Source organism: Homo sapiens, chromosome 10 (assembly GCF_000001405.40).
Source record: "Homo sapiens chromosome 10, GRCh38.p14 Primary Assembly".
NCBI classification, from domain to species: domain Eukaryota; kingdom Metazoa; phylum Chordata; class Mammalia; order Primates; family Hominidae; genus Homo; species Homo sapiens.
In genome coordinates, this window is record NC_000010.11 from 126,662,741 (window position 1) to 126,681,652 (window position 18,912).

At 44.8% G+C, this 18,912-nt stretch overlaps 1 protein-coding gene across 5 annotated transcripts in view, besides 2 other annotated features; it reads right to left on the reverse strand.

Annotated features, from left to right (window-relative positions):
- Nucleotides 1-7,953, reverse strand: part of C10orf90 (chromosome 10 open reading frame 90) — a 245,697-nt gene extending 237,744 nt beyond the window's left edge. For all 5 annotated transcript variants that reach the window (NR_146939.2, NM_001350922.2, NM_001350921.2 and 2 more), the window contains exon 1: nt 7,501-7,953. Coding sequence is in view for 4 of the 5 variants with exons in the window: in NM_001350922.2 (NP_001337851.1) it covers nt 7,501-7,740 (240 nt within the window). In the remaining variant the exon portion in view is untranslated. The remainder of the gene's footprint in view (nt 1-7,500) is intronic.
- Nucleotides 9,979-10,201: a silencer, noted in NCBI's record as "fragment chr10:128361288-128361510 (GRCh37/hg19 assembly coordinates)". NCBI's record gives its function as "represses an EF-1alpha promoter that drives an FKBP-Casp9 reporter gene in an ReSE screen in K562 erythroleukemia cells {active_cell/tissue: K562}" and the evidence as "EXISTENCE:reporter gene assay evidence [ECO:0000049][PMID:32094911]".
- Nucleotides 14,128-14,668: an enhancer, noted in NCBI's record as "H3K4me1 hESC enhancer chr10:128365437-128365977 (GRCh37/hg19 assembly coordinates)". NCBI's record gives its function as "activates a minimal SCP1, AML or CMV promoter by ChIP-STARR-seq in naive H9 embryonic stem cells {active_cell/tissue: H9 hESC(naive)}" and the evidence as "EXISTENCE:reporter gene assay evidence [ECO:0000049][PMID:30033119]".

Sequence of the window (18,912 nt, forward strand, 5' to 3'; positions counted from 1 at the left end):
GATCCACAATCTGTGTAGACACCCTGGCCTGGCATCATTGGGATGGGTGCCTCCGTGCATTCTTGCTGAGTTCTCTGGATCCACAATCTGTGTAGACACCCTGGCCTGGCATCATTGGGATGGGTGCCTCCGTGCATTCTTGCTGAGTTCTCTGGATCCACAATCTGGGTAGACACCCTGGCCTGGCATCATTGGGATGGGTGCCTCCTTGATCAGATGATAAGCCTCTTTGTCCTCTGTGTCCCCGGCACCTACCACAGTTCCTGGCACACAGTAGGTCCTTAATACATATTTGTTACAAGAGCCAGCCCAGGTGTTTCCTCTTTAATCTGTCTGCTCCACTAGAGGAGGAAGAGGACCTAGAGTGGCAAAAACAGAGGGTGGTAAGAACACATGTGGTCCTCAGAACTGTAAGGAAGTTATCAGTGAGAAAGCTGCGGAGGGACAAATGTCTCAATCAGAAGGAAAGAGAAAGAGCACCCGATTTAGAGGGGCATGATAACTGCTCCTAATCACTTGATCCTGGTGTAGTTGACTTTCTCTGTAGTTAGCTCTGAACCTCCCTGGGTTCTAGCTGTTGTTGTCAGGAGATGTGCTGCCCCCGACCCAGCACCACGTGAGAAGTATAATCTGCAGAAGAAGACGTAACATAGATGGAATCCTCCTTCCGCCGCTCCTAACTGTGTCACTGTGCAGCCTGCACCATCTCTCTGGCCTCACAGAATTTTCTCTTTGGAAAAATAGGCCTCATGTGTCTCACACAGCTGTGGTGAGCTTCAATGAGGCAATTCAGGAAATCAGCTGACACCCGCCTCTTTTGTTCCATCTCCGTCTCTCAGCTCTCCTTGCACGCAGTGGTCCTGGCTTCCACACTGTCCTCTCTGACTCACATCTGCCCCCACCCCCTGCCCTTCTACACACCAGTTTTCTTAACATGGACAATTCAGCTGGCTTTTTTGTGACTTCCTTTGGGGTTCATGCGGTTGGAAAATATTGGTCTAGAACTTGCAGATCATGGGTTCAGAACTGCAAAAAACCACCAAGTACCCTATTTAAAAACATAGATTTCTGGATGCCACCCCTCCCAGAACCCAGGGGTCTGAATTCTCAGAAAGTTCTAAGGATTCTAAAGTACACTAAGGTGTGAGGGCCATGCAATCTTCCATAAGATGGTAAAACCCCATTTAGATCCTTGCCCCTAGGGAGGTCCATTTTATGTCGAAAATGCCTCATTAATGCTTTCTACCTTAGCCCTAGCTTTATCGTGAGGGAATCAGGTGTGGAAGAACTCACACTCTCAAGAGTCTCTTGTCCGTGATGGAATTTGCAGCTGGCCCCAGGAGTAGGCGTGCTCTAAATGAAAACTGTGCATTCAGGTCCTGGCCAATTTGATGACTAATCTCTGAATTGCTTGGGGGATGGAGATTACCCTGAGCCAAGAATATAGAAGGTCATAAGTCTCTGTGACCTGACGCTCTGAGTGTGGGGAAGCAGGGAAAGGAAGTGTTTTGCCCCAATTTAAACAAGACCTGCTTACAAAGCAGCAGCACCCATAAATCACTGGTTACAATTCGCCTGCACCCAGGGGCCACTTCTTGGTGCCGTGGCTCTGTGTCACTTTCACGGGGTACAGCCTCCATGCTAGCCCCAAGACTTAACCCTTTATATAGGTTATCTCTTGTAATGCCCCCAGCAACGCTATAAGGCAGATATTATCATTTTTCCTATGAACACAGATGAGAAAACTAGGCTCAAAGAGAAGAAAATTGCCAAGGTCACTTAGCTGGTGAGAGCCCAGACAGCCTCAACCCGGTGCTCTTTCTCTTAACCACACCACCACCTTTCATCTGCCGTCTCTTCTCTCCCTTAGTTTGGCTGAAATGTGGATATGGTCTCCCCACAAGTTCCCAATTCCCTGGTGGAAATTTACCAAAATGATGTCAGATAGACCTTATAAGCCTTAGCTGCCAATGCCCTGGGTCAGCTCACACTTGACCTCTCATTAAATACTGTCCATTGTAGCGAGATTGGAGACCTCACTCACCAGATTTCAGATATGCCTCCTGATGCAACAAAACTGACTTCAGACCTCTAACTCCTCACACCTCTTTAGGACCTTGCCCTCTGACAGGCAGCTCCAGTTGACAGGTGCAGGGAGGGCTGGAAGAATATGGCGACAGGGCAGCATTGAGACCCAAGTACAGCCATTTCATTTCCCTCTTGGCTCTTGGACTTCTCATGTCTGCATTTGAATGGAGGCCATCAGCCATTGCCAGTGGAGGCTGAGCTGAGGCTTCTAGGAGGAGCCCCAGCACCCACCAGACAGCAGGCAAGGCACAGGAGTGAGGCAGGGGCTCCCAGCCTGTTGGCAGAGTGGCAGAGCTCATGGAAGTCTTTATTGCCCTTTGTGAAACAGCCTTTTCTCAGCCCTCCTCAGGCTGGAGGTAGAGTCTTCACTGCAGTCAGAGCCATAAGCACATCACAGCAAAAATACTGCTTGGAGGCCGGGACTTCAGGGGGAAAGGTGAGACTCCAAAAGCTTTGATCTGGCTAAGCTCTTCAACTTGGTCTGGAAATAGGGAAAATTGTTTTGCACCTTTTGATAACTGTGAGAAGAAAGGAAATGTTCGCTTTACCTCCTGTTTGGTCTCAGTGACCTCTTTATTTCCTGAATCAAGTTCTCTTGAAGCCCAAGTACTTAACTTGAGTGCTTTTATTTTACAAGACTGAACGGTGTACTCCAACCACTGGAAAACATTCATCAAAGCCCAGAGCTAAGTTTCCAAACTATGGTGGGATATTGAAACCACTCTGGGAGACTTCTTCTTCCAGCCATGATAGAGTAACCAGACAACCGCTAGGAAACAATGATTTCCAGATATTGAACAACAAGCAATGCAGCACTATGACCCCTGAGAGGAGGAAAACAAGAGAGGTGAGTCCTACAATTGTCCCCACCTGGAGGCAGTGTCCAGGCTGCAGCTTAGGAGGGGAAACTCAGCTGAGCCTGGGGTCTTTGCTGAGTGGAGGAGGTAGAGACGGAAATTAGAGAGGCCAATGTAGCTGGAATTTAGGAAGAGGAGAACTGCAAAGGAGAATTCCAGCAGCCTGCAGGGAACTTCCCAGGTCTTTGCCTGAATACTGATCTGCACCTGCCCAAGAGAAAAATACCTGAAACCAAGAAAAGAACTTCCAGAAAGTGGTAGGTCACATCATTCAGGAGCTATTTGGAAGCAATTTAGGTTCCCGCCAGCCCAGGTACAAACACCTTGTCACACATGAGACATCAGGTAGAGTCCTCAGAAGGGTCATGTTGTAACACTGGGACTAAATTAGCCCACATCAGGGTTTCTAGGCCTCAACACCATGGACATTTTCAGCTAGGTAGTTCTTTGTTGCGGGGTTGAAGGTGGCACTGCCCTGTGCATTGTAGAATATTAGCTGCATCTCTGGCCTCTACCCATTAGCCACCAGTAGCATTTTCCCCAAGGTTGTCACAACCAAACTGTCTGCAGACATTACCAAATATCCCCAGGGTATTTCAACAAGCCCAAACAAATCGAAAAAATAAGCCTCAAAAGGGTCAAGCTGTTTTCAAATAACTTAACAAAATCAAACACCAAACAATGTAAGATTCACAATATCCAAAATTCAATTTTAAAATTACCTAGTGTGCAAAGAAGCATGACCCATAATCAGGAGGAAAATCAATCACTAGAAATGATGCAGAAATAACAGATGCTGATAAAATGAGGAGACAAGGACCTTAAAGCAGCTCAAGAAGGTAGAGGAAAGCATGAGCACGAGGAGGGGTGTGGGAGATGAAAGGAGTCACCTGGTAAGTGTTCTTCCTTGTTTGTCATTGCCAATGCCTTCACGCTGCTCTGGGCCCACTGAGTCACAATGGCCATGGCTGCACCAGAGGCATATGCAGTTCTTTAAAAAGTTCACTATGAGGCCAGGCACGGTGGCTCACACCTGTAATCCCAGCACTTTGGGAGATCAAGGCGGGCGGATCATGAGGTCAGGAGTTCGAGACCAGCCTGGCCAATATGGTAAAACCCCATCTCTACTAAAAGTACAAAAAAAATTAGCCGGGCATGGTGGCGGGTGCTTGTAATCCCAGCTACTCAGGAGGCTGAGGCAGGAGAATCATTTGAACCCGGGAGGCGGAGGTTGCAGTGAGCCAAGATCGTGCCACTGCACTCCAGCCTGGGCGACAGAGTGAGACCCTGTCTCAAAAAAAAAAAAGTTCACTATGATTCTACTCAGCCAGAATTCAGCACTACTGGCTAAACCCAATTTTTTTTTGTTTGTTTTGTTTTGTTTTGCTTTGGAAACAGAGTGTTGCTCTGTCGCCCAGGCTGGAGTGCAGTGGCACAATCTCGGCTCATTGCAAGCTCTGCCTCCCAGATTCATGCCATTCTCCTGCCTCAGCCTCCCGAGTAGCTGGGACTACAGGCACCTGCCACCACACCCAGCTAATTTTTTGTATTTTTAGTAGACACAGGGTTTCACTGTGTTAGCCAGGATGGTCTTGATCTCCTGACCTCGTGATCCACCCACCTCAGCCTCCCAAAGTGCTGGGATTACAGGCGTGAGCCACCACACCCAGCTGACTAAACCCAATTTTTTAAAAGAATGAATAGAAAAAGGAGATGGAAATGATGATGGAGATTTTGAAAAATATCAGGAGGCATGGCCAAATAGTGATTTCCAAATACAAAATCTTTCTTTGGCTCATTTAGTGATTAAAGGCATTAGAAACTGTCGCCTGTCAGAGGACAGATGGGTGAGCCTTAGCTGATGCATCTCAGCCTGCACCTACCATCAGAAAGGTCTCCACAATCAATCAGGAGATGCTCACTTACATTCACACCATAGGAGATATGAGCACATCACTGAATTCTATGAGGTTTCCCTTCCCAAGCTGGCAAAACCACGCAAGCTCTGCTGCATAGAGAGTCTCAGAAAGTGTCCCTGCTTGCCATGCGGACAGAAGGCAGAGCTCCAATATAGGCTCATCCCATCCTCCAGTTATGGCTACATTGATGTCTGAAATTCATCAAAAACATACGCAGGGGGAGACATGCCCTTAACAAACTGTATTTCTCAGAGTTTGGGGCATTTTTAGAGTGTGCAGACATCAAGTCTTTGAAAATATGAACCCAGGGACCTTCAGCACCCCTCACCACCACCTGCTCCCAATCCTGGTAACTTTCAGTGCAGCAGGCTCTGCTCCTTGTTCCTATCAGAAGGAAGTCTATGTAAAGGTATGCGTGTGGCTGGATCATCCCTGGGCTGCAGTTCAGCTGGTGAGAGGTGGCTTCTCCAACCATTAAGACAGCTCAGGACTAAGACCATGGTTTTGGAAAAATTTGAGTCTGTAGGTTTTACACTAAAATCAAGCAGATTTGCAGGACCTCATGGGAAGAACTTGAAATCCATAAGGTTTTTACAGAAATAAAATCTCCAAAACTCACTTTTGCCAGATAACCAGCCAGTTTCTTTAATCTAGCACCTTTGTGCATTGAGAGTTCATCCCAGAGACCCTGCTCATTTGTCAGCCCATTGAGTACTTTGTGGTCAAAGCCCAGGGCAGGTTAACCAATGGCCTTGGAGCTGATAGAAGAGAAGGAGTCACTGGGCCAAGTCCAAAGGCAGAACCCAGAAGTGCTAATTGGGGTCTCTCAGCAGTTCAGCTTGGGAAATTGAGCAAGGAAGTTTCCTTCTTCCTAAATTTCCTAATCTAAATAATGCTGAGATGTCATGGTAGGAATAACATGAAGAATAGTTTAATGGATGAGGAATATTTTAAAATCGGAAATGTTTGCTACCAAAAGTCAAGAGCAGACCTTGAAGTTCAGAGGGACAGGGGGTGCAAATCCCATCTGATGGTTTTCAAACTTGGCCCGCCCTAGAGCTGAGGAGGCAGGCCCTTCCTGGACAACTTGGGGAGTCATGGACACAGTGAGGCCCATCCAGCCCATCAGACTGATTGTGGGTGGGGGCTTGGATCTGGCATTCATTTTAACATTAGTGGCTCGGTTGTTGGCTGTCAATAGTAGCAGCGTATTGGGCCCTGAAAAAAATGTAGCTGTGACTGTCATATATTTGAAGTTTTTTGTAACCTCCTAAAAAGGTGTACTTTTTTCATATTGTTTTAATCAGTGTGGCTATAGGAATCAGTGAAGTTTTATATACGAAGAAAACGAGAATGCCAGATCTACCATTTGCTACATAGGGTTTAAAATGAAGCTATGAACAATGCATAATAATGTAATTCAACAAGTTTTTCTCTCTCTGGAGGACTGGAAAATAACCTCAGTGAAAATTATGCAATGATAAAATTCTGTCCCCATCTGATTAATTACTTGTGAATAATGACATCTCTGATTTCTTTCAATTATATTCTAATTGCACACCTTTTGCTCCAGTTGATTGGGCAATGAAGTAATGAACAACTATTACTGAATTTAATTAGCACCATTATTTCTGTGGCCTTTACATCTCTGTTGTGAACATGGAAATTCACACTCCCAGGGCTGGAACTGGAAGAAGCCAGCCTTGAACCTTGAAAAACCTGTTCCTTCCACACTGTGCTGGCTTCCTTCTGCCCAGCCTGGGGAACAAAGACCTGGCGTATTTGCCAGTATTCATGGGAAGGCTTTCCTAATAACAGCATCAATATTCAGAAAGGTTACCTTTTCATAAGGCATTAGCAATTTGCATGTTACATCTATCAAAAGAGATGGGTAAATGAGCTATATGGGAGTCAATTACAATGTCGTTCATAATTTATTCCATGTACAATAAACAGCCGATCAGATTTCATGCGTGTTTACTTTCTGAAAAGATAACTGCTTGTGGCTGATACTAGTTGCAGAATACAAATATGTTTCAGAGTAATGTGTTTATCTCACTTTGACATTTTAAATCTCCAAAGTTCTCTCACTCTCTGTCTTTTTTTTTTTTTTTACAAAGTTGTCTCTGCTTGAAAATTAGAGCTTGCTCTCAAAAATAAAAGATCATTCTTACTGGCCTAACTTGAATCATTCTATTTTAACTCGATGAAGGCACGTCATACATATTCTCCTACAAAACGCAACAGGAAACAAGTAGGAATTTGCTTTTAAAGACAGGTGATTGCAAACATACAGAGCTAAGAATATTTAACTCACAGAAACATGCTGTAGTTTCTAAACATGGATACAAATTACCCAACTCAGTAGTCTTTGGAGCACCAATAAAGTTTGTAAATGCAGACATGTGTCATCGTAAATTAACTTCATCCGATATACTTTCCCCCTCCCCCATATTTCAAAAACTAAAATAAATTCAGAAATGAAGAAGGCTTTTCCAAATCCCTTAGGGAAGTCTACAAACACAAATGATTAATTTATTAGACCAGATAAAACACCTGAACTGTCTGATGAGCAACACGTCCATCTCTCTCTGAGTCAAGCGTGTACCCACTCACCCACCCAGGCTCAGCCATACCTCATATCTGCTGGCTGTCTGCTCAGCCGTCTTCAAGCCTTGACACATATGGATGATACAAACTTTGGCTCTTCTCTGGGAGGGAAACCAGTTACTCTTCACAAAATCCATGACCATCACATGGTTTTTCAACTCTGTACTAAATGTTTTTATCTGGAAAGTCCGATGCACGGCCGTTTCTGTGTAGCGGGCAGCATACCCCTGCGGATGAGTTTTTGTAGGAATTCCAGAGTGCTGCATGAGACTCAGTATCTTGTGACTTTAGCTAGTGAGACTGGCAAACACAATTTTCTTTGTTTAACCCAGGTATTGAGTGCAACAGGAGGGACTTGGGCAGTGCCCCAGCTCGGACCTGTCCCAGTGTTTTCCAACTCCAGAGCTAGTTGTCTCAATATCCCAGCTACATTTGTGAAGGATGTGGATGTGGGAACCTCAGGGGTGACCTTTACGTGCCAAAAAAAAAAAAAAAAAAAAAAAAACTTCTTGTTGTGGTCTGTTTCCAGCCTCACGCCTGAGCTCTCGGGTCACTCAAAGTCTTCTCTGATTTCAAAGAAGTATTTCTCTTTCCACTGCATTGAAGTTTTGAACACAGAATTCACCCAGTTACTGAGAGATTCAATATGTTTGTCAGTCTCTACCCCCTCAAATCCAAATAAATTATTTACAGGGCTCTGTACAAAGGAACTAGGAGGAATAATCGTTGCTTTTTAGAATTCCTGCTTTTACTTGCCAGGACTGAAAGGAACAAGTGCAGGCTGCCTACCAATACAAAGAGCGTCCTCAGCCCTGGAGAAGAAAACATTCAAGTGAAAAAGAGAACTCCCAGCGCAGAAGCAGCAACAGCTGCAAGAGGGCATCGGAAAAACAGCGCATCACGTGGGGGCTGGGGGTGGAGTCCACTCGCCTAGAAGGGGGCTCTGGTCCTGGGTCAACCATGGGAAGTTCCCTCACCACCCTGAGTCTCAGTTTACCAGGAGGAAGACTGGAAGGAAAATACCCCATCTGCCACTCACAGGGTTATTGTTAGGATCTGGTGAGCAAAACAGTGAAACAACAACACAGAATAGAGTCACGTTAGGCATCATTTTGAAAGTACAGTTGCGCGTTCTCTACCCAAATTATTTTGCACAGTGTTCGCTACACATATGATAACGGAGATTAACACAATGCTAATAATTATCAGATTCTAAATTTCAAGTCAATTAGAATTGCAGATCCATGGTATATGCCTCACTTTATTTAATGTTTTGATGCCATTTCTATTAACCTAGTAATTTAGAAGTGAAAATGGCAAGCCTTGGATCAAGGGTGTGTGCCAAGAGGAAGCAGATGACAGCATCGTGGCTGTGCTCCAAGTCCAGACACAGAACTCTTCTCCACAGGTGACTTTCTCTTGGCAGAGACACCCCCTTGAATAATTAACTCACCTGCCCCACATTGAAAGCCATGGGAGAGGCTAAAGGAAGAAGAGCCTCCAGATAACTTTCCTGAAAACAGAGCTGCAGTCCTAGCCCAGAACTGTGAGACTTCCTGCTGTGGGTCGAAGCTTTGCATGTCACACTCAGCAGGGCTAGGACTTGGGGGCTAAAATGCTGAACTTCCACCTTCGGAGCAATGGAAGTATTGAAGATGGGAACTACAATGAAGGAGGAGACAGAAAAGACTTTAGAGATCATTTAGGCCAACATTCTCATTTGAGTGTTAAAGTAGAAGACCTACAGAGACTAAATGCTGGCTCAAGATCACACAGTGAAGTGGAGTTCATGGTTCCTTAAACAGAACACAGCCCGGGTCTGCCTGGGGCTCTCCCAAGGATGTCAAAGAGAGTGTCAACACCCAACTGATGGCATCCATGGCTGACTCAAACCTGACAGTCATGCTGGAAACTCCCAGGGAGCTACACCATGGAGCGCCATCTTGGATTTGGAAGCAATGTGATAAAGAAAGCCATGGGAGACATTTGAGCAATAAAAACATGAAAATTGAACAGGGACACCAAGGAAAGAGGGGATCTGCTTCATGTTTGGGCACAGGGAAGGTCATTCCCTGTGTCCCCAAAAACGCCATTTAAACCAGCTCCCATTTGTGTCTATCTGCTCCTGTCCAGGAGACCCCGCAAGGCAGATAACAAATAATAAAGTCTTTTCTTCCACCACTACACACATTAAAGGACCTTGGACAATGCTGAGGCCAGCAGGACTGGTCATCAGCTACCCCGAGACCAGGACTGGTCATCAGCTACCCCGAGACCAGGACTGGTCATCAGCTACCCCGAGACCAGGACTGGTCATCAGCTACCCCGAGACCAGGACTGGTCATCAGCTACCCCGAGACCAGGACTGGTCATCAGCTACCCCGAGACCAGGACTGGTCATCAGCTACCCCGAGACCAGGACTGGTCATCAGCTACCCCGAGACCAGGACTGGTCATCAGCTACCCCGAGACCAGGACTGGTCATCAGCTACCCCGAGACCAGGACTGGTCATCAGCTACCCCGAGACCAGGACTGGTCATCAGCTACCCCGAGACCAGGACTGGTCATCAGCTACCCCGAGAACAGGACTGGTCATCAGCTACCCCGAGACCAGGACTGGTCATCAGCTACCCCGAGACCAGGACTGGTCATCAGCTACCCCGAGACCAGGACTGGTCATCAGCTACTCCGAGACCAGCATGGAGAGGTTTGCTGATGGTTGGCTGACTGCTAGTGTGAGCACTTGTCACAAGCACAGCCAGCCTGTGGTGATTATGGAGATTCCAAAGATCATTAAGGCTATGGGTGAGTTTTCTCTCTCCCTTGACCACAGCTGGTGGCTGGATCTTAACTGGCCAGTATGGCCAACAAGAGGAAGCAGTAATGTGGCCTTAGGCAGGTCTCTGGGATTCTTGGTCAATAGGGATGGACAGAAGACTTGGGATTGTCAGATTGAATTCCTCATTATATGGAGGAGAAAATTGAGGCCCAGAGGGAGAGAACCTTGACTGAGAGGTCCAAGGGCTGGAAAGAGCACTGGATGGACAATTGGAGATGGGTTTGCACCTAGGCCCTAAGACAAACTAGCAGGTGATTGTGGACAAGACTCCTCCCTTCTGGCTTAAGTTCCCTTTAACCACAAGCCCCCTAGCTTCTCTGACACCCCTGGGTTCTAGAGTGTGTCAATTTTGACCATGTGCAGACACAGCTCAGCAGAGAGCAGTTCCACCCTCCCTGGGAAAGGCCTTCCTGTCTGGGTCACTGAGGTGGGGCTGGGTGCAGAAGAATGAGCTGATGTCCTTCCATCTGCCCTCAGAACTGTTGCTCCTCACCCTCCAGCAGGGCCACAACCTCCACAGTCCAGCCACTGTGCCCTCTTGAAGCACAGCCTCCAAGTAAGAAAACGTGGTTCCTGCTGATGTTCACAGTGCTTGCCTTGCAGCCTTGGGCGAACTACACACTACCCTTGCTTCAGTTTCCCCATCCATTTAAGAGGATAACAATAGTGCCTTCTTTGATGGGCTGCTGTGGAGACTGAAGCAGCTGGCACTAGTAAAGGGCTTGGGACAGAGCCTGGCACCGGGCACCTGCCTGACAGACACCAGCTGTCATCACTCCCAAAGGGCAAAGACTCTAAATTGCCAGACACATCATTTTAATACCAAAGAAGGAAGATTGTTAAGGAGAAGCTGGAACTCAACTGGCCATCCTAAGACCCTATCTCCAAGACTTCCTCTGCCATGTAATGCTGCCCAGAACTGGGGCAGGTGGCCAGCCTTGATCTCCTCAAATGGGAAATAGAGTTAGCATCCCCGGAGCAGACAGCTGTGAACATTGCGTTAGGTGGTTGTTGTGTGTGAAACTGTTTTATAAAGTATATATTTTTAAAACTATACAAGTATAGATTTTTAATGCTAGATGCTAGCAAAAACAACTGAAGGAAGAAGTGCCAGACACAAGCACAAACTAAGCTAGTTCTCATCCAAAGGACAGAAAGTCAGTCACATTTACAGTCACAAAAGAATGGTGGTATTAGGCACCACCATGCCACCACATTCACACATATTGCCAAGGACACTGAACGCTTTTTGGTTTGCCAAGAGTCCCGCTCTTCTGGGAACTCTTCCTCCACATCCATCCCGAAGCCTCCCATATGGTGCCCATAGAAGCTGGCCATGCCTCTGACCTCACTGACTGACCATTGACTGGCCCAGGGGTGGGCACCTGGCCCAAATAGGGCCAATCAGAGCCTTTTGTTTTGATCTAAATATTTGGGTATCCTCCAATTCATATGAAGAAGCCCTAACTCCTAATGTGATGGTGCTTGATCATGGGGCCTTTGGAAAGTAATGAGGGTTAAATTAGGTCATGAGGGTAGACCCTCATGATAAGACTAGTGGCCTCATGAGAAGAGGAACAGAGATCTCTTTCTCTCCCCCACCCCCTCCTCATGAGCATAGAGGAGAGGACATATGGGGACACAGTGAGAGGGTGGCTGATTGCAAGCCAGAAGGAGAGCTCTCATGGGGACCTAGTCCAGCTGACACCCTGATCTCAGATTTCCAGCTCGAAAAACTGCGAAAGAATACATGTCTGCTTTTTAAGCCTCCCAGTCTATGGTATTTTGTCGTGGCAGCCTGAGCTGACTAAGACTCTTGGAGAAACACCTGGCTCACATAAGGCCAATCAGAAAAAGTCTGTTCTGGAGAATCTTGATCCTGGAACTGAGCAAGAGTGGGTAGCTGAGGCTGTGGGCTGGAACACTGCAAGCACTTCTGGCAAGGAGCTGTCACAGAGAGAGGCAGAAGCCAGAAATGGGAGCATGTGGATAGTTCTTGAACCCTGGGTTCTACCCGGCCCACATTCTGCATGTGGAATCAATGTGACTATAGTATCTTTACAATACTCTCCCCTTTAGGCTTAAGCTGTTTGACTTAGGTCCTGTTATTTGCAACCAACAGAGTTTATGTTAATCTTTGAAAATTCATTCATTTATCAAAGAAGCAGAGGTGAAGTGCTTCTGAGCCAGTTACTGTGCAAGGCACTGATGATACAGAGATGAAAGGGAGTTCACTGTTCAGCAATGGGACGGATGCCTTGACAAGCAGTTACTCAAAGCACAATGAATGTTTCCTATGAGAGCATCTGCGTGGTGAGGACACTAAGAAACCTTCATGGGAGAAGGGGTATGGCATCAAGTCTTGACTGATGGCTGCTTTACTGCTGAACCCCCCACAGTTAGCATTGCATGGACAAAAGTCAGCCATAGGACATCACTTTCTACATACTGTTCATACATTTTGTCATAAAGCATTCACAGCCAAGAATGGAAAAGCACTAACTGAAGCCATATTTACTGCAAATAATCAGCACTGTTTATGGAAAATGATTTCCTGAATCTTTTGTGGTTTTTTTCTTAAAGGAAATAACTCAGTCAACTACTATAAAAGTTAGATCTCTGACCTTATTAATGTCCTGCAGAATATCCTATTTAATTTCCCTAAATTGGTCCCTGGGGTGACTAAAACTGTTAACATTGTTAGCAATTGCAATCCAATGATATCAAATCAACATAAATGAGCCTCAAATGTGTTTAGTGTTGAACTATATGGGATATTAATCTCTTACCTCTCCCTTGCCCCTGAGACAATATGCAGGGCTGTATACAATATGCACTGAAGTATTTAAATAATGAATTATTCAAAAAGAAAAGAAACTGCAGGTACCTGATGCCAAAAATCATGCCTGTGAATTCTTAATCTGTTCTCCAATGGGATTAGCATTTAGGACTATGAAAGATATCCTAATTATGCAGAATTTCGGAGTTGATTTTCTGAAGGGCCTGTGCAGATCTAAAAAGCATTAGGCAACAATAAAAACAGATGACTATGAATTTCTGAATTCATAATTTAGTTTCCCTTACGGGAGAAATGACATTTTTATTTATGGGCGCTTTACTCATCAGGTGGGTGCTGAAGTTTTTCTCCTTTCTCCAAGGCACAATGCTTGCTGCAAGCGCATCCATGCAATCATCCTTCTAAAACAGATGTGTGAAATTTACAGGGCTGTGTAACATAGGACCGATGCAATGTATTTTTCCTCTTGTTAGTCCCCACCCGCCGGGTTGCTAGAATAAAACAAAAGAACTGAGAATAATATGGCCAACTAAGGAATCTTTGACCTTTTAATCAAATTAGGAAGAGGATGCAAGTTTGCTTGATGAATTCCATTCCCTTGTTAAATTTTTCAGCTACGAGGGGGAGGAGCCAAGATGGCCGAATAGGAACAGCTCCGGTCTACAGCTCCCAGCCTGAGCGACGCAGAAGACGGGTGATTTCTGCATTTCCATCTGAGGTACCGGGTTCATCTCACTAGGGAGTGCCAGACAGTGGGTGCAGGTAAGTGGGTGCGCGCACCATGCCCGAGCTGAAGCAGGGCGAGGCATTGCCTCACTCAGGAAGCGCAAGGGGTCAGGGAGTTCCCTTTCCTAATCAAAGAAAGGGGTGACGGACAGCACCTGGAGAATCAGGTCACTCCCACCCGAATACTGCGCTTTTCCAACGGGCTTAAAAAACGGAGCACCACGAGATTATATCCCGCACCTGGCTCAGAGGGTCCTACCCCACGGAGTCTCGCTGATTGCTAGCACAGCAGTCTGAGATCAAACTGCAAGGCAGGGGCGCCCACCATTGCCTAGGCTTGCTTAGGTAAACAAAGCAGCGAGGAAGTTCGAACTGGGTGGAGCCCACCACAGCTCAAGGAGGCCTGCCTGCCTCTGTAGGCTCCACCTCTGGGGGCAGGGCACAGACAAACAAGAAGACAGCAGTAACCTCTGCAGACTTAAATGTCCCGGTCTGACAGCTTTGAAGAGAGCAGTGGTTCTCCCAGTACGCAGCTGGAGATCTGAGAACGGGCAGACTGCCTCCTCACGTGGGTCCCTGACCCCTGACCCCCGAGCAGCCTAACTGGGAGGCACCCCCCAGCAGGGGCACACTGACACCTCACACTGCAGGGTACTCCAACAGCTGAGGGTCCTGTCTGTTAGAAGGAAAACTAACAAACAGAAAGGACATCCACACCAAAAAACCATCTGTACATCACCATCATCAAAGACCAAAAGTAGATAAAACCACAAAGATGGGGAAAAAACAGAACAGAAAAACTGGAAACTCTAAAAATCAGAGCGCCTCTCCTCCTCCAAAGGAATGCAGCTCCTCACCAGCAACGGAACAAAGCTGGATGGAGAATGACTTTGACGAGCTGAGAGAAGAAGGCTTCAGACGATCAAATTACTCTGAGCTACGGGAGGACATTCAAACCAAAGGCAAAGAAGTTGAAAACTTTGAAAAAAATTTAGAAGAATGTATAACTAGAATAACCAATACAGAGAAGTGCTTAAAGGAGCTGATGGAGCTGAAAACCAAGGCTCGAGAATTATGTGAAGATTGCAGAAGCCTCAGGAGCCAATGCGATCAACTGGAAGAAAGGGTATCAGCAATGGAAGATGAAATGAATGAAATGAAGCGAGAAGGAAAGTTTAGAGAAAAAAGAATAAAAAGAAACGAGCAAAGCCTCCAAGAAATATGGGACAATGTGAAAAGACCAAATCTACATCTGATTGGTGTACCTGAAAGTGATGGAGAGAATAGAACCAAGTTGGAAAACACTCTGCAGGATATTATCCAGGAGAATTTCCCCAATCTAGCAAGGCAGGCCAACGTTCAGATTCAGGAAATACAGAGAACGCCACAAAGATACTCCTCGAGAAGAGCAACTCCAAGACACATAATTGTCAGATTCACCAAAGTTGAAATGAAGGAAAAAATGTTAAGGGCAGCCAGAGAGAAAGGTCGGGTTACCCTCAAAGGGAAGCCCATCAGACTAATAGCGGATCTCTGGGCAGAAACCCTACAAGCCAGAAGAGAGTGGGGGCCAATATTCAACATTCTTAAAGAAAAGAATTTTCAACCCAGAGTTTCATATCCAGCCAAACTAAGCTTCATAAGTGAAGGAGAAATAAAATACTTTACAGACAAGCAAATGCTGAGAGATTTTGTCACCACCAGGCCTGCCCTAAAAGAGCTCCTGAAGGAAGCGCTAAACATGGAAAGGAACAACCGGTACCAGCCGCTGCAAAATCATGCCAAAACGTAACGACCATCGAGACTAGGAAGAAACTGCATTGACTAACGAGCAAAATAACCAGCTAACATCATAATGACAGGATCAAATTCACACATAACACTATTAACTTTAAATGTAAAGGGACTAAATGCTCCAATTAAAAGACACAGACTGGCAAACTGCATAAAGAGTCAAGACCCATCAGTGTGCTGTATTCAGGAAACCCATCTCACGGGCAGAGACACACATAGGCTCAAAATAAAAGGATGGAGGAAGATCTACCAAGCCAATGGAAAACAAAAAAAGGCAGGGGTTGCAATCCTAGTCTCTGATAAAACAGACTTTAAACCAACAAAGATCAAAAGAGACAAAGAAGGCCATTACATAATGGTAAAGGGATCAATTCAACAAGAAGAGCTAACTATCCTAAATATATATGCACCCAATACAGGAGCACCCAGATTCATAAAGCAAGTCCTGAGTGACCTACAAAGAGACTTAGACTCCCACACATTAATAATGGGAGACTTTAACACCCCACTGTCAACATTAGACAGATCGAGACAGAAAGTCAACAAGGATACCCAGGAATTGAACTCAGCTCTGCACCAAGTGGACCTAATAGACATCTACAGAACTCTCCACCCCAAATCAACAGAATATACATTTTTTTCAGCACCACACCACACCTATTCCAAAATTGACCACATACTTGGAAGTAAAGCTCTCCTCAGCAAATGTAAAAGAACAGAAATTACAACAAACTATCTCTCAGACCACAGTGCAATCAAACTAGAACTCAGGATTAAGAATCTCACTCAAAACCACTCAACTACATGGAAACTGAACAACCTGCTCCTGAATGACTACTGGGTACATAACGAAATGAAGGCAGAAATAAAGATGTTCTTTGAAACCAACGAGAACAAAGACACAACATACCAGAATCTCTGGGATGCATTCAAAGCAGTGTGTAGAGGGAAATTTATAGCACTAAATGCCCACAAGAGAAAGCAGGAAAGATCTAAAATTGACACCCTAACATCACAATTAAAAGAACTAGAAAAGCAAGAGCAAACACATTCAAAAGCTAGCAGAAGGCAAGAAATAACTAAAATCAGAGCAGAACTGAAGGAAATAGAGACACAAAAAACCCTTCAAAAAATTAATGAATCCAGAAGCTGGTTTTTTGAAAGGATCAACAAAATTGATAGACTACTAGCAAGACTAATAAAGAAAAAAAGAGAGAAGAATCAAATAGACGCAATAAAAAATGATAAAGGGGATATCATCACCGATCCCACAGAAATACAAACTACCATCAGAGAATATTACAAACACCTCTACGCAAATAAACTAGAAAATCTAGAAGAAATGGATAAATTCCTGGACACATACACCCTCCCAAGACTAAACCAGGAAGAAGTTGAATCTCTGAATAGACCAATAACAGGATCTGAAATTGTGGCAATAATCAATAGCTTACCAACCAAAAAGAGTCCCAGGACCAGATGGATTCACAGCCGAATTCTACCAGAGGTACCAGGAGGAACTGGTACCATTCCTTCTGAAACTATTCCAATCAATAGAAAAAGAGGGAATCCTCCCTAACTCATTTTATGAGGCCAGCATCATTCTGATACCAAAGCCAGGGAGAGACACAACCAAAAAAGAGAATTTTAGACCAATATCCTTGATGAACATTGATGCAAAAATCCTCAATAAAATACTGGCAAAACGAATCCAGCAGCACATCAAAAAGCTTATCCACCATGATCAAATGGGCTTCATCCCTGGGATGCAAGGCTGGTTCAATATACGCAAATCAATAAATGTAATCCAGCATATAAACAGAGCCAAAGACGAAAACCACATGATTATCTCAATAGATGCAGAAACGGCCTTTGACAAAATTCAAAAACCCTTCATGCTAAAAATTCTCAATAAATTAGGTATTGATGGGACATATTTCAAATAATAAGAGCTATCTATGACAAACCCACAGCCAATATCATACTGAGTGGGCAAAAACTGGAAGCATTCCCTTTGAAAACTGGCACAAGACAGGGATGCCGTCTCTCACCACTCCTATTCAACATAGTGTTGGAAGTTCTGGCCAGGGCAATTAGGCAGGAGAAGGAAATAAAGGGTATTCAATTAGGAAAAGAGGAAGTCAAATTGTCCCTCTTTGCAGATGACATGATTGTATATCTAGAAAACCCCATTGTCTCAGCCCAAAATCTCCTTAAGCTGATAAGCAACTTCAGCAAAGTCTCAGGATACAAAATCAATGTGCAAAAATCACAAGCATTCCTATACACCAACAACAGACAGAGAGCCAAATCATGAGTGAACTCCCATTCACAATTGCTTCAAAGAGAATAAAATACCTAGGAATCCAACTTACAAGGGATGTGAAGGACCTCTTCAAGGAGAACTACAAACCACTGCTCAAGGAAATAAAAGAGGATACAAACAAATGGAAGAACATTCCATGCTCATGGGTAGGAAGAATCAATATCGTGAAAATGGCCATACTGCCCAAGGTAATTTACAGATTCAATGCCATCCCCATCAAGCTACCAATGCCTTTCTTCACAGAATTGGAAAAAACTACTTTAAAGTTCATATGGAACCAGAAAAGAGCCCACATAGCTAAGTCAATCCTAAGCCAAAAGAACAAAGCTGGAGGCATCACACTACCTGACTTCAAACTATACTACAAGGCTACAGTAACCAAAACAGCATGGTACTGGTACCAAAACAGAGATATAGATCAATGGAACAGAACAGAGCCCTCAGAAATAACGCCGCATATCTACAACTATCTGATCTTTGACAAACCTGAGAAAAACAAACAATGGGGAAAGGATTCCCTATTTAATAAATGGTGCTGGGAAAACTGGCTAGCCATATGTACAAAGCTGAAACTGGATCCCTTCCTTACACCTTATACAAAAAGCAATTCATGATGGATTAAAGACTTAAACGTTAGACCTAAAACCATAAAAACCCTACAAGAAAACCTAGGCATTACCATTCAGGACATAGGCATGGGCAAGGACTTCATGTCTAAAACACCAAAAGCAATGGCAACAAAAGCCAAAATTGACAAATGGGATCTAATTAAACTAAAGAGCTTCTGCACAGCAAAAGAAACTACCATCAGAGTGAACAGGCAACCTACAAAATGGGAGAAAATTTTCACAACCTACTCATCTGACAAAGGGCTAATATCCAGAATCTACAATGAACTCAAACTAATTTACAAGAAAAAAACAAACAACCCCATCAAAAAGTGGGCAAAGGACAT